Source organism: Homo sapiens, chromosome 15 (genome assembly GCF_000001405.40).
Source record: "Homo sapiens chromosome 15, GRCh38.p14 Primary Assembly".
Classification (NCBI taxonomy): Eukaryota; Metazoa; Chordata; class Mammalia; order Primates; family Hominidae; genus Homo; species Homo sapiens.
In genome coordinates this window covers 64,192,258-64,207,756 of record NC_000015.10, presented here as the reverse complement: position 1 = coordinate 64,207,756, position 15,499 = coordinate 64,192,258, and the positions used below count along the sequence as shown (strand labels likewise).

At 41.6% G+C, this 15,499-nt stretch overlaps 1 protein-coding gene across 4 annotated transcripts in view; it reads left to right on the top strand.

The window, feature by feature from the left end:
* Positions 1-15,499, top strand: part of CSNK1G1 (casein kinase 1 gamma 1) — a 190,649-nt gene that overhangs the window by 148,417 nt on the left and 26,733 nt on the right. For all 4 annotated transcript variants that reach the window (NM_001329606.2, NM_001329607.2, NM_022048.5 and 1 more), the window contains exons 7-10: positions 163-248; positions 2,808-2,892; positions 3,168-3,316; positions 4,568-4,675. In NM_001329606.2, coding sequence (NP_001316535.1) covers positions 163-248; positions 2,808-2,892; positions 3,168-3,316; positions 4,568-4,675 — 428 coding nt within the window. The remainder of the gene's footprint in view (positions 1-162; positions 249-2,807; positions 2,893-3,167; positions 3,317-4,567; positions 4,676-15,499) is intronic.

The following is a 15,499-nucleotide window of genomic DNA, read 5'->3' as shown; positions in this document are numbered from 1 at the left end:
TTAGGGTTTTGATCTAAAATACTATCCTTGGTTTAAATATACAAGTAATTAGTAAGCAGAGCCTTTCCAGAGCCGAAGGGTTTCTGAAGGGATTACTTGGTTTTGAACCTCTTTCTGCTTTAATAACTGCAAACATAATGTGTGATCTGTCTTCCCTTTTAGAGCAAAGCCGGAGAGATGATTTGGAAGCCCTAGGCCATATGTTCATGTATTTCCTTCGAGGCAGCCTCCCCTGGCAAGGACTCAAGGTATCCTTGAAAGTGTTCAGTGGAGGGCTTTGTTTCAATGCTCAGTTGTTAATGAAGGAGCCTCTGGCTTCATGTTTTTAAGAAATGTGTAGGGGGCTGGCCAGATGCGGTGGCTCATGCCTGTAATCCCAGCACTTTGGGAGGCTGAGGTGGGAGGATTGCTTGAGTCCAGGAGTTTGAGATCAGCAACATAGTGAGACCCCATCTCTATTTAAACATAAACAAATAAATATTTTTTTAAAACAACACACAAAAAGGATTATTGGCTAATTGGCTCTGGAGATAAGAAGCAGGGACTAATTACATTAGTCTACATTATAAATGCTCTCCTGGGCTTTGGAAACTGTTTTGTTCACATTTGTCTTCCGTTTCTTAATTTTTCCTTGTTCTTGGATTTTCCATGATCTTTTCCCTCATTTCCTCCCAGGCTTGACAGTGCTGCTTTTCTCTCTGTGTTGGTATTCCTCCTCCACTACCATTATGTAGCAGGAGGAGTGTTCCCAGTATGTAAGGGAATTTCTGGAACAAATTGTTGACAACAGCTGCTACACATTTTACCAGAAAGGCCAGCAGGGTGTACTCCTCAGGAAAACTTGGAAAATATTTGTTTATCCTATGTAGGCTAAGAACTCACCTGAACTAAAATGAAAATCCAGGTTTAAGATTGCTTTTCAAGTGTATTATTGAATAAATGCCTATTCAGACAATATCTATTCATTGCAAAATGTGTAGAGTTTAAATAGCCTTCCTTAGGTAGGTGTCAGTACAGTGGTTACATGTCAGTTTACTATTATAATTATGAGCATTATCATTACTCTGTGCCTTTGGCTGTTTGGCTAGGAAATGGTGAGCTTCTAACCCATTGTAAGTCCCATTAGTATCTTGTGAGACTTTTTTTTTTTTTTTTTTTTTTTTTTTTTTTGAGACAGAGTTTCACTCTGTTTCCCAGGCTGGGCTCGCTGCAACCTCCACCTCCCAGGTTCCAGCGGTTCTCCTACCTCAGCCTCTTGAATAGCTGGGATTACAGGTGCATGCCACCACGCCCAGCTAATTTTTTGGTTTTTGTTTTGAGACGGACTCTCGCTTTGTTGCCCAGGCTGGAGTGCAGTGGTGCAATCTCGGCTCACTGCAACCTCCGCCTCCTGGGTTCAAGCAATTCTCCTGCCTCAGCCTCCTGAGTAGCTGGGACTACAGGCACACGCCACCACACCCGGCTAATTTTTGTATTTTTAGTAGAGACGGGGTTTCACCATATTGGCCAGACTGGTCTCAAACTCCTGACCTTGTGATCCGCCTGCCTCGGCCTCCCAAAGTGCTGGGATTACAGGCGTGAGCCACTGCACCCAGCCAATTTTTTGTATTTTTAGTAGAGACGGGGTTTCACCATGTTGGTCAGGCTGGTCTCGAGCTCCTGACCTCAAGTGATCACCCATCTAGGTCTCCCAGAGTGCTAGGATTACAGGCATGAGCCATCGCGCCTGGCCCAAGACATATTTTTTGGTTGTAATTTATTTCAACATATTAATATGGAAAGAAACTTAATCAGTAGTTTGGGGTACTCCTACACCCCCTCTTCCAGAAAGGCAGGATGGTTCATTTTGCTGTAGGCTTTCTAGACTATTGTCCTAAAACGTAAGACTTCCACCCATTCCCTTTGAGATTTTATTTCTTCACTCTTAAATTCCTCTCCTGTCATATACATCTTCTCATTGATTTTTATAGCTTTCAAATAGAGTTTCATGTCAAACTTGGTCATCATACAGCCACACAATGCATTAGTGTATTATTAATTGCTTGAAACTCTCTCGTTGTCCATAAATCATTTTAGTGGTAGTTGTAGATCTAAAATTTCTCCTATTTACTTCAGAACACTATTGCTTAAGTCTGAGTGCAGCAAGCTAGGTAAAGCCTGACAAGAATTCCCTAGGAGCCCACTGTTGATCCAGGGTTCAGAAGCCCTCTGGCTATAGCTCTGAGCATACCAGACTTGGGCTGCTTTTGAGTTACTGACATACACCAAACCTGTTAGCCATGGCTGTACCATAGACAACTTTTTTCCCTCTGGAAGCACATTGTTGAAAGACATTTTTCAGTTATTGTTTTTTTTCTGTTCAAAGTCTCAATATATGTGTAGTAGAATTACTTATCTGTTTCCCCCACCTGGATTAGCAGTACTTTTAGAGCTGATCTAAGAGAGAATGCTGAATCATATTGAATTATGGTGGCCATGGGATATTACTAAGCTTCTGCAATTTTGAAAATATTGGCCACATAATATTGTTATTTTCTTATCCTAGCCACTCATCCATTATATTTGATGGTGTTTATCTGAGACAACTAAATATTTTCACAAGTAAAATTTTCCAGAACACAGCAGATGTTTGTATATATCTAAATATATAATTTCTACTACATTTCTTATTTGTTAGTGTTAGAAAAAAAATCAAGACCAACAAATACTGCGAATTTGAGTGAAACAACCATTGTGTCCAAAAACATATTGAATCTCCCATGTTTAGGCCCTCTTTTAAAGTAACTTTCTCTCTTTACTCTCTACAGGCTGACACATTAAAAGAGAGATATCAAAAAATTGGTGACACCAAAAGGAATACTCCCATTGAAGCTCTCTGTGAGAACTTTCCAGGTGGGATGCTAAAAAGACATTCCAGTGTGACTGAGCTTTGAAACTAGGTAGAGTCCATGACTGGGTATCTCTAGATAGGGGTGCTGTTTAGGTAATTAACATTTCCTTTTGTGATACAGACCAAAGTAGGTTTTATCACTTTTATTTTGTCAGTAAAGAAAACATCAGTGTCAAATTGTCTGTATAAATAACCCCTTTGTGGCCCAATGCTTCCCCACAACTGCTATGGAAAGCATTCAGCTAATGAGCAGGGCCTTTCATCTCTTTCCTAACAGAGGAGATGGCAACCTACCTTCGATATGTCAGGCGACTGGACTTCTTTGAAAAACCTGATTATGAGTATTTACGGACCCTCTTCACAGACCTCTTTGAAAAGAAAGGCTACACCTTTGACTATGCCTATGATTGGGTTGGGAGACCTATTGTAAGTATCCTTTTTTTTTTTTTTTTTTAACCTCATTACCTCCTTTCTCCAACCAGCACTGCCTCATGCCTTTACTTGCCAGTCTTTCTGCTTGAATCTTTGGTAAAAATATTCCTTTGATCGTAGACTGTATATTTACTAGCCTTGTCTGGGTGTTGCCATAGGTTGCTCTTACTAGTTCAGAAGTAGGAAGTATTTTTTCCTAGTAATATAGGAAGATAATAACTTGTGTGTCCTAAGATAACAGAATTTAAGCCCAGTTTTTAGGAGAAGTTTCATTTGAATGATTCAGAAGTTTGTTTGTTTGTTTGTTTGTTTTCCCAGGCTGGAGTGCAATGGCGCCAATCTCGGCTCACTGCAACCTCCGCCTCCTGAGTTCAAGCGATTCTCCTGCCTCAGCCTCCCAAGTAGCTAGGATTGTAGGCACACACCACCACGCCCGGCTAATTTTTATATTTTTAGCAGAGACGGGGTTTTGCCATGTTGGCCAGGCTGATCTCAAACTCCTGACCTGAGGTGATCTGCCCTCCTTGGCCTCCGAAAGTGCTGGGATTACAGGCGTGAGCCACCACACCTGGCCCCATGATTCAGAAGTTGATGCCACATACGCTGTTAATGTACTTGACCTTTGTAGCAGTGGAACCCAGCATCATAGGAAGCTTTTGAATTTGTTGTTCTGGTCAGGGGTTCACAGGGCCAAACAGATATCAGTGGAGGAAATTTTTTTTTTTTTTTTTTTTTTTTTTACGGAGTTTCACTCTTGTTGCCCAGGCTGGAGTGCAATGGTGTGAACTCAGCTCACCGCAACCTCCGCCTCCCAGGTTCAAGCGATTCTCCTGCCTCAGCATCCCGAGTAGCTGGGATCACAGGCACGCGCTGCCACACCTGACTAATTTTGTATTTTTAGTAGAGATGGGATTTCTCCATGTTGCTCAGTCTGGTCTCGAACTCCTGACCTCAGGTGATCCACTCACCTCGGCCTCCCAAAGTGCTGAGATTACAGGCACGAGCCACCGCGCCCGGCCCTGGTTTTTTGTTTTCGAAGGTAAGCTACTCTCCAATGAACTATTAAGGACCAGGCTGCCTCCCTTTTGCAGATGAGCAAACTGAGAAGACAAGACAACTTGAAAGTGCTCTTGGTAGCTGAAAATAATTACTACTACTCTATTAGAATTAGAATCATTCTGTCCTTTGCATATGCATCAAGTTGGACCTGTTTCCCCCATTTGACTTTTTGTTTCATTTTTCTAGCCTACTCCAGTAGGGTCAGTTCACGTAGATTCTGGTGCATCTGCAATAACTCGAGAAAGCCACACACATAGGGATCGGCCATCACAACAGCAGCCTCTTCGAAATCAGGTATGTGTTGATCCTCCATTCTTTCAGACACTACCCTTCTTCTTGGCTAATATTAAAACCCAAATTCTTCAGCTTCTCCGCTTTAGTGTATGTACTGAAAATAAAGATCAAATGCTTGCCATTTCTTACAGGTGTGGTATGACTTTCAAGCAACCCTCAGGGCATGTATAGTTGCACTGAGATGTGGCCAGGTGCCCTATATGAAGCATCCAGTCTAAAGAGTCAGCCTGGCCAAGTGCAGTGGCTCATGCCTGTAATCCAAGCACTTTGGGAGGCCAAGGCAGGTAGATCACTTGAGCCAGGAGTTCAAGACCAGCCTGGGCAAGATGGTGAAACCCTGTCTCTACATAAAATACAAAAAATTAGTTGGGCATGGTGGCACGTGCCTATAGTCCCAGCTACTTTGGAGGCTGAGGTGGGAGAATCACCTGAGCCCGGGAAGTCAAGGCAGCAGAGAGCCAAGATTGCTTCCGCATTTGCACTCCAGCCTGAGTGATAGAGTGAGACCCTGTCTTAAAAAAAAAAAAAAAAAAGTGTGTGGGCCTGTCAGAGTCTGTTGGCTGTTGGGGGGAACTAGCTATAAGTTAGGATCAGAGGCATCTACCATAGGACCAAAAGACCTGTTGGAGGCTACTCTGGGCACAGTGCCTGTGGAGTAGCCCTACTCGCCAAGGAGCAGTTTAAAAAAAAAAAGACCTGTCGCACAGACAGGATGTACCAGGTAGCCCACTTTGGGTCTCATCTGTAGTCTGGTCTAGAGCTCTTGCCAGTTCTGGTTTTTCCTTGCTGGTTAAGAATGGTAGGTACTTTGGACTTCCAACTGACTTGGGCATGAAATGGAACCTCCACACCACCCCTTGTTCTTCTACCCGGGCAAATTATAGAGCTGGTCAAGATTTGAGATGGACCTGCAGTGAAGACTCAGCTTAGGCGATGTCATCTGTCCTTCATTGTTCGTTGTTTGGAAAACTAGTGGTCTCAGTGAGGGACATCTCTCAGCCTAAAGACAGATAAGGCAAACACACACCAAAAAATCAACAAGTTTGACATTTTTAAAAAGGGCTTATGTATTTGGGAAGTAAATATGACATAGGATTTTTATCTTTATATTAAATATATTGCTAAGAGAAAAACAGAGACCACAGTAGGTAAATAAGCAAAGCATAATAAACAGATTACATATTTTTAAAATAATTATCACATATCAAATTAGCTTATTTCCTCTCCTTATGATTTCACTTTCTTGTATTAACATTTTTACAAGAAAATACAAAAACATTTATTTCATAGATGCACATGTGCAAGTATATAGGTTAAGAATAGTATATAAACACACACACACACACACACACACACACACACACACACACACACATGTCCAATGGAGTACACCCACAAATATATTTTCTCACCAGTAAGTATATACTCTTGGCAAAATATGTGGTTTGGTGGGTAAGAAAAAAGTATGTAAAAGGAGGAAAGCCATTTACTAGAGAGTACATATAAACGAGAAAATAGGTGGGCAAAAAAGAAAGGGTTAAGCAAACTCTGGGCACTAATTGGGTCCATAGTCACATCCTTTAAAGTCGTTGTTTAAGATTTATAATTTGACTGACTTCTGGTTTGACAACAAAAGACTGTTGACTTCTGCAGTTCTCTCCCATCCCTCCCTTTTTAAAAGCTAATAGCTAGTGCAGGTGAGGGCACAGTTAAACTGACATATTGCTGTTGATTTTACGAATTGTACAAATTCTCTAGAAAGCAATTTCTTTTTTCTTTTCTTTTTCTTTCTTTTTTTTTTTTTTTTTTTGAGACAGTGTCTTGCTCTGTCACCCAGGCTAGAGTGCAGTGGTGCAATCTCAGATTACCTCAACCTCTGTCTCCCAGATTCAAGCAATTCTCCTGTCTCAGCCTCCCAAGTAGCTGGGATTACAGGCACATACCACCATACCTGGCTAATTTTTGTATTTTTATTAGAGATGAGGTTTCGCCATGTTGGCCAGGCTGGTCTCGAACTCCTGACTTCAGGTCATCCACCTGCCTCGGCCTCCCAAAGTACTGGGATTACAGGCGTGAGCCACTGTGCCTGGCTAGAAAGCAATTTGATCAAGTTATTTTCTTCTCTGATGAAATACCTTACTTCTTGAAATCAATCAATAAAACCACTCAAAGTATAGGTTATGTGCATAAAACTGTTGCATTGTCATTGGTAGCAGAGATATAGAAATGATCTGCCTATCCACCTATAAAGGCATGGTTATAAATCTACTTCACATCCTTTATTGAATAAACTGGGTTATAGTAAAGTGAGCTGGACGGGATGGGGAAATAAGCAGAATCAATGGAAGGAGATCAAAATTATTAACAGAAATAGGGTTGGAAGTGTAGTAATATATTCTAAAATATTTTAAATGAAGTTTTATTACTCTATAATGCGGCCAGGCGCAGTGGCTCACGCCTGTAATCCCAGCACTTTGGGAGGCCGAGGCGGGTCGATCACCTGAGGTCAGGAGTTCGAGACCAGCCTGGCCAACATGGTGAAACCCTGTCTCTACTAAAAATATAAAAATTAGCTGGGTGTGGTGGCACATGCCTCAAATCCCGGCTACTCAGGAGGCTGAGGCAGGAGAGTCACTTGAACCTGGGAGGTGGAGGTTGCAGTGAGACGAGATGGTACCATTACACCCCAGCCTGGGCACCACTGCACTCCAGCCTGGGCAACAAGAGAGAAACTCCATCTCAAAAAACAAAAATGCATTTAAGTAGAAAATGTATGTAAAGAAAAAATAGATAAGTAGTGTCATATCACAGTCAACATATATCCTTGTGTCTCTTTTTTTTTTTGAGACAGAGTTTAGCTCTTATCACCAAGGCTGGAGCATGATCTTGGCTCACTGCAACCTCCGCCTCCTGAGTTCAAGCGATTCTTCTGCCTCAGCTTCCTGAGAAGCTGGGATTACAGGTGCCTGCCACCACACCGGGCTAATTTTTGTATGTTTAGTGGAGATGGGGTTTCACCATGTTGGCCAGGCTAGTCTGGAACTCCTAACCTCAGGTGATCCACCTGCCTCAGCCTCACAAAGTGCTGCAATTACAGGCATGAACCACCATGCCCGGCACCTTGTGCCTATTTTTTAGAATATTTTTTATTTTTTAAAATTCTTTTTTACCTCCATTCTCTTAGAATGTGATAGAATTTTTTTTAAAATTTTATTTATTTATTTATTTTGAGATGGAGTCTTGCTCTGTCGCCCAGGGTGGTGTGCAGTGGCGCGATCTCGCGTCACTGCAACCTCCACCTCCCGGGTTCGAGCAACTCTCCTGCCTCAGCCTCCCGAGTAGCTGGGACTGCAGGCGCACGCCACCACACCTGCATAATGTTTTGTATTTTAGTAGAGACAGGGTTTCACTGTCTCCCAGGCTGGTTGCGAACTCCTGAGCTCAGGCAATCCGCCCGCCTCGGCCTCCCAAAATGCTGGGATTACAGGCATGAGCCACCGCGCCCGTCCTAGACTATCTTAAAATATGTGTTTCCTTTACTTTCCTGCTTCAGTGAATTTATAACCAATGCTGTGGTTTTGCATGGATTTTTAAAGTATGAGGAAAAGAGATGATTGAAAACTTCGGTTGTCAGGGTAAAAACTGAGTAGTGAATTTCAATGTACTTTTAAATGAAAAGTCTCTGACCACAGTATATAATTATTTAGGAAAATCTCATCTGTATTTAACTACTATGCTTATTTTTGAAAAGTTGAATCTTGAATATCTCTCTTTGATATATATTTTTTTCTCTTTTTCTTTTCTTTTTCTTTTTTTTTTTTTTTTTTTTTTGAGAAAAGATTTCACTCTGTTGCCCAGGCTGGAGCACAGTGGCACAATCACAGCTCACTGCAGCCTCAACTTCCTGGGCTAAAGTGATCCTTCCACCTTAGCCTCCTGAGTAGCTGGGACTACAGGCACACGCCACCACGCCCAGCTAATTTTTTTTTTTTTTTCGTATTTTCTGTAGAGACAGTTTCACTGTGTTTCTCAGGCTGTTCTCAAATTCCTGGGTTCAAGCAATCTGCCCACCTCTGCCTCCCAAAATGCTGGGAGCCACTATGCCTGGCCCTATTTTTTTAATTTTAGAGTTTTTAGTATCCTGTGGCTGCTAAGAGATTGGAATTCCTTCACGTTGATGTAAATGTTATAACGCCTTCCCACCAGGATTCTGAATCCTTGCTGGGTAAAATTCTTTCTGCACTATGCACTCTGGGTAATGGATTTCTAGTGTCTGTTCAACCTTTGGTCTATGTTAATATTACATTTCTTCTATCTTTAGGATTGTTTTCTTATGCCCTTTTTTTTTTTTTAAGAAAATTTGCAGCCAAATCTCTCTCTTATTACTCTAAGAATTGAAAACAAGATGATTTTCTAGACTAATTCCTTTCAAGTTTTGAAATTAGCAAAAGAAAAATACAGTTTCTCCTTGAGCGAGATTGACAGGTATTGACTTTAGGAACAGCTAACCTTTCATCAGCAACTTTGACTCAGTAAATCTGAGCTGAGGACCTGCTATGTGAAACTGTATCCTGTGGGCCAGGGAAGGTGGCTCACACGTGTAATCCCAGCACTTTGGAAGGCTGAGGCGGGTGGATAACTTGAGGCCAGGAGTTCGAGACCAGCCTGGCCAACATGGTGAAACCCCATCTCTACTAAAAATACAAAAATTAGCTGGGTGTGGTGGTGGGCGCCTGTAATCTCAGTTACTTGGGAGGCTGAGGCAGGAGAATTGCTTGAACCTGGGAGGCGGAGGTTGTGCAGTGAGCCAGTGCACATGAGACTGTGCCACTGCACTCCAGCCGGGGCAGCAGAGACTTTGTTTCAAAAAAAAAAAAAAAAAAAAAAAAGTATATCCTGTGGATACCAAGTAGGGAGTCCTTGTCCTCAAAGAGCTGACAAGTAGATAAGCCAAATGGACAGATAACTATAACACAAGGCAGAACAGATAAGCATCCCAAGTTGCAAATTATTATCATCTGGGTTTGGAAGAAGAAATTTCATCTAGTCTGAGCAAGACAAATAATTTGATGAGAGAAGCTGCATTTGACATGCTTTTAGCAGAATTAAATGAGATGGAAGAGGCATTCCAAGCAGAAGAATATATGATCAACAACAAATGTTTTATCTAGTTCAGTTTTCTAAAATATATGATGCGAGTAAAGGAGTCCTAGGAGACAAGGCTAGGAAAGTAGGTTGAAACCATTTGGTGAAGCTCCTGGAATGCTGGGCTGGCGAGTTGGTGCTTATTTTAAGTAGGAATAGGGACTAAAGATTTTTAAGCAAAGGAGTGATATGATTAAAACTCTGCTTTTGAAATCTTTTGGCACAGAATGTGGTACTAGTCTGGCAGCAAACATGGAAATCATTAAGCAGGCAGTGAATTCCCTTGAGATGTAGAGGGAGTCTAGATGGGTTATAGTAGGGCAAATGAAACAGAATTGAACAATGCTACAGTGATATAATCTACCAGAATTGGCAGCCCACATGAATGTCAGGATTAAGGGAGAAGGAAGAGTCAAAGCTGTTGCAGAGATCTTGAGCCTGGATAATTAGGAGGCATGTGGTACTATTACTAGAGATGGCAAAGTTGGGGGAGGAACTTGTTTGGAATTTGAATTTAGGCATCTTGAGTTTGAAATACTAGCAATGTATTCCACCTGAAGAGGTCTAGCAGGCAGAGGATGGTTCTCCAGAGACAACTAGAGAGATATTTGGGAGTCAAGGCATAGAGATGACATTGATGATAATGCCTAAAGAGTCTCCTTATTCTGGGAAATCTGAGCCTAGGGCTCAACAAACTGTTTAGTCTCATACTTACAGTAGAAGGAGAAAGAAGAGCTCAGACCTTGGTTTTATCTTATCCCAAAACTTTGGCCATAGGACATTTAACCTATTTAGGGTGTCAGCATTCTCAAATTGGAGCCTTGTAAGAGCAGAGGTTTTTGTTGTTTTGTTCACTGCTTTAATTAACCCTAACACCCAAACCAATGTTTAGAATAGTGGGCACTTGATGCATACTTGTTTGAATGAATGAGTGAATGAATGAATCTGCCAAATGAAGGGTGCAGATGTAAATAGATATTTTTTTATAGCATAGATTTTTATTTAACCTTTATTGAAAAATAAATTTTAAGCTTTTCTTCCTACTCGTTTTTGTTTCCACAAAGAGCCATTTTGCCTCTGTTTGGCAGCTAGAGTAGGGCTGGATTGTCTGCTCAAGGGGAGGGGTGTTTAAAAAAAAAAAACACACACAGAGCAGTCTTTTGCAGCAAAGAAAGTTCAGGTGATTGCTGGGCATGGTGGCTCCCGCCTGTAATCTCAACACTTTGGGAGGCCGAGGCGGGCGGATCACCTGAGGTCGAGAGTTCGAGACCAGCCTGACCAACATGGAGAAACCCCATCTCTACTAAAAAATACAAAATTAGCCCGGCATGGTGGTGCCCGCCTGTAATCCCAGCTACTTGGGAGGCTAAGGCAGAAGAATCACTTGAACCCGGGAGGCAGAGTTTGTGGTGAGCCGAGATCGTGCCATTGCACTCCAGCCTGGGGGACAAAAGTGAAACCCGTCTCAAAAAAAAAAAAAAGTTCAGGTGATCTTATTAGTTCTTTTCCATCACAACAAGAATCCTATTTTCCTTGTATTCTGGGAAAATTTTGCTTTGCTTGTTTAGATTTTAGGTATATTGAATTGAGTACTGTTTGGTTTATCTATATACAATAATAAATCCCAAATATGGTTCCTAAAGGACTGCATTTAAACTCACATATATTGGATCTGCCTTTTAAAACTATCTTTATTCCAAGCACTTCTTTTTTTTTAATAGAGATGGGATCTCACTCCACCTCTCAGGATAGAGTGTAGTGGCGTGATCACAGCTCACAGCAACCTTGACCTCCTGGGCTCAAGCAATCCTCCCACCCCAGCCTCCCAAACAGCTGGGACTATGGGCGTGAGCCACCACACCTGACTAATGTTTATTTATTTTTTGTAGAGACAGGGCCTCCTGGTCTCAAACTCCTGGGCTCAAGTGATCCTTCTGCCTCAGCCTCCCAAGTAACGGGGATTACAAGTGTGAGCTACCATGCCTGGCCAAGCACAATTTTTTTGAACATAAATTTTACCTAACTAGAGAACTATAATTAAACTATGAATTTGGATAGAATAAACGTTCCTAAAAGCTAGATCCATTCAGAAAGATCCCAGTTGAGTTAGTCTTTCCATCATTTTATACTTCGTGTTTGTCCTTTCCCAGTACCAAAAGTTGTAAATCTTGCCATGGGTCTGATTCCTCTCTAAAGAACTGCGTATTACAATCCGGCAGAAAGGGGATGAAAACCTTAATAGTTCTGCCTGCTTGCTTCTACCTGGCAAAACGTCCTTTGCATTATCTGATCAAATTCAATCAGGAAGTAAGTCCTGCCGGTATCCACAGATCTGATATTAGAGTACAACATATTGTACTGTCATAGGTTTTATTCAGTGTGCTTGTTCAACACAGTAAATGTAGACTGTTGCATTGACTACTATGTGCATGCAGCAGCACTCTTCCTGCCCTTTCAGTACTTTAAATCCAAGCTTGTGACAATCCTTACGTAAATGCTACATAAACATTACACCGCAATGGTTCAGGAGTTATGATAGCGTCTCCTTTTTCTCTGGCTGACCTCTTTTATTATGGTGGGTTTTGTTGTGGGTATGTGAAAAAGAAGGGCTACTTAGTAACTAGCAGGTTAGAGGAACAGATCCCATTTTGACAGTGGAGAGAGTCATATTGACTATTAAAAGCTTTTAAATGGTAACAGACATGGTATCCTACCCCAAAATGTCACTTACTCTTTTTTGTGTTTTTGTATGTGTAGCATAGGTGTTTTGTTTTGTTTTGTTTTCATTCGCCATGTGAAAAGAGATGCGTAGCATATGTTTAAGGGAAAGAATTTATTCTTTGTAATTTTGTACTAGGTGGACTGTTCCCTTGCAAATTCTCCAATTTGACTAGGAAAATATGAATCAAAGATCAGTAAAGGTAATCTCTCATCCTTCCAAAAGAACCATATTTAAACTAACTCAATACCTTATAATACACGGAAAAATAAACGCAGAATTTAAGAGTCAAATCATGTGAGGTCTGAAGAAGATATGCCTCCAGTAAAAGAGTGTTTTGGATTTGTTTGTATCTAGACTGTAAGGGAATACATTTAAAGGACATAAAGCCTTAGAAAAATATATTGTGGCTGGCTGGGGTCGGTGGCTCACACCTGCACTTTGGGAAGCTAAGGCGGTGGATCACCTGAGGCCAGGAGTTCAAAACCGGCCTGACCAACATGGTGAAACCCTGTCTCTACTAAAAATACAAAATTAGCTGGGCATGGTGGCTCATGCCTGTAATCCCAGCTACTTGGGAGGCTGAGGTAGGAGAATCGCTTGACCCAGGAGTCAGAGTTTGCAGTGAGCCGAGATCGCACCACTGCACTCCAGCCTGGGCAATAAGAGCAAAACTCTGTCTCAAAAAAAAAAAAAAAAAGAAAAGAAAAGAAAAGAAGAGAAAAAGAAAAATATATTGTGGCTTTGTGCTGTTATGCTTAGTGACTACAGCTTGTTATGAGCATAATTTTTCTAAAGGAAACATTAGGCCACATTGCTAAATAGGCAAGGTAGTCAGTTATCTTCATAAAATGAATACCTTAAAAAAAAAAAAAGCTGATATAGTTATTTGTTTCTGTCTTTTTACAGAGTACTGTTTAGTTCTGACCGAGGCTCAGGGTTTGCTAGTTGAAGGGGCTAAGTTTGCGCAGAGATAATCTGCCTCCTTGTGACCTGCGTGCAGTTTCCTAACATGCTGCCTGCCATCCAGTAGGAGCACAGACAGAGATTGCACACTCCTCCTGGCCACAGGATGGCCACAGCTCCACATAGAGCTCAGTGCAGGAGACGTCTGCCCCTCCTCATTTCTGGGACCTTTACTCTGAGAGGAGCTTTGAAACAAGCAAGTGCAAAACTGAAAATAGATTCCTTAGCGTCTTCTGTTCTATCACCTAGTCACTGCGGCTCACCTCTTCTCTTAATTCTGTATTCCATATTAAAAGTTTTTTTCTTTCTGTATGTGTTAAGTGTTTTGTATTTCAGCAGACACCTGTGTTCTAACCCAGCTCCTTGTAGGAGGAAACTTGGTGATTCTGAAGTAATCCTATCTAGATAAACCAACATTTCCTAGGGAGGTATCTTACACCATTGTAAGGATAGGGCAGAGTTTGAATAGAGAATTGCAGACTTCTAGGGTGGTTTCCGTGATTTTTCTAAAAGCGTCACAGAATTGATACTCTCGTCTCTGGATAGTGTTGAGCCTGGGAATAATCCCCTTTTCAGGTTGTTGTCAGTGATTTTTAAACTTCCCTCCTATTTGATAAGGTTTATAGAATACAGGATATCTCTGCACAAATGACAGATTACATGGCATAACCCCTGTCTGGCATGGGAAAACTGGTTATGTTTCATGAGCTTAATAGAAGGAAGTTTTTAGTTTTGTTCAAGTATATACTTTTTTTTTTTTGAGACAGAGTCTCACTCTGTTGCCCAGGCTGGAGTGCAGTGGCGCGATCTCGGCTCATGCAACCTCCGCCTCCCAGGTTCAAGCAATTCTCCTGCCTCAGCCTCCCGAGTAGCTGGGACTACAGGTGTGCACCACCATGCCTGGCTAATTTTTTTTGTATTTTTAGTAGAGACGGGGTTTCACCGTGTTGGCCAGGATGGTCTCAATCTTCTGACCTTGTGATCCACCCACCTCGGCCTCCTAAAGTGCTGGGATTACAGGCGTGAGCCACCACAGCTGGCTCCTGTTCCATTCTTTTCTTCTTCCGTCTTACCCCCACCATATCATAAAAGAAAAAAAAGAAATTTTAATATTGGAAGTGTGATAAAACCAGAATGTAATCCAGTATATTCTCTTTGCTAACCTTTTGGTACTATTCAGTCTCATTCTTGTTAGTTTATAGTTGAAGACAGTTAATGAGGCTGAGAAGACTTACATGAGAGGCCAAAATGTTTCTTTATAAATGGCAGCTTTTAAGGTATTTTTTGAGCCATAAAGTGAAGTAGATAAAGTTGTTTGTATATGTAATCAAAAATAATTTTTTAAAATGAGTTTTTTATGAAGAATAGGATTTGGTGATTTTTTTTTTTTTTTTTTTTTTTTTTTTTTTTTAGGCAGATCTCACTCTGTCACTCAGGGTGGAGTGTGGTGGCACAATCTCAGCTCACTGCAACCTCTGCCTCCTGGGTTCTCAGCCTCCCAAGTAGCTGGGACTATAGGCATATGCCACCACTCCCGGCTAATTTTTGCATTTTTAGTAGAGACAGGGTCTCACCATGTTGGCGAGGCTGGTCTTGAATTCCTGACCTTAGGTGATCCGCCCCCCTCAGCCTCCCAAAGTGCTGGGATTATGGCACTTTGTTAGTGTCACTCTTACATTAATCCCTGCCAAATGAATGCTGGGAGAGATTTTTTTCCCCTGCCATAGGGCATAGGTGGGGGTTTTCACTTTTTCAACAGTCTTCTGTGTTTTCTCAAGTATTTTTGTTACCTTTACCTTTCATTTATGCTATGCTGGATTGCTACTTTCTTGTTTCAAGATTTACCTACTACATAGTAAACCAATCATTTCCATGAAGGTGATGCAATCACGACTGAAAATTTTAAAGCGTTCCCCCAAGGAGTTACCACTACTTGAGATTCCTGCTCCTGCTTTGGGGGACTTACACACTCCATGTGGAGCTCTGCTTTTCAA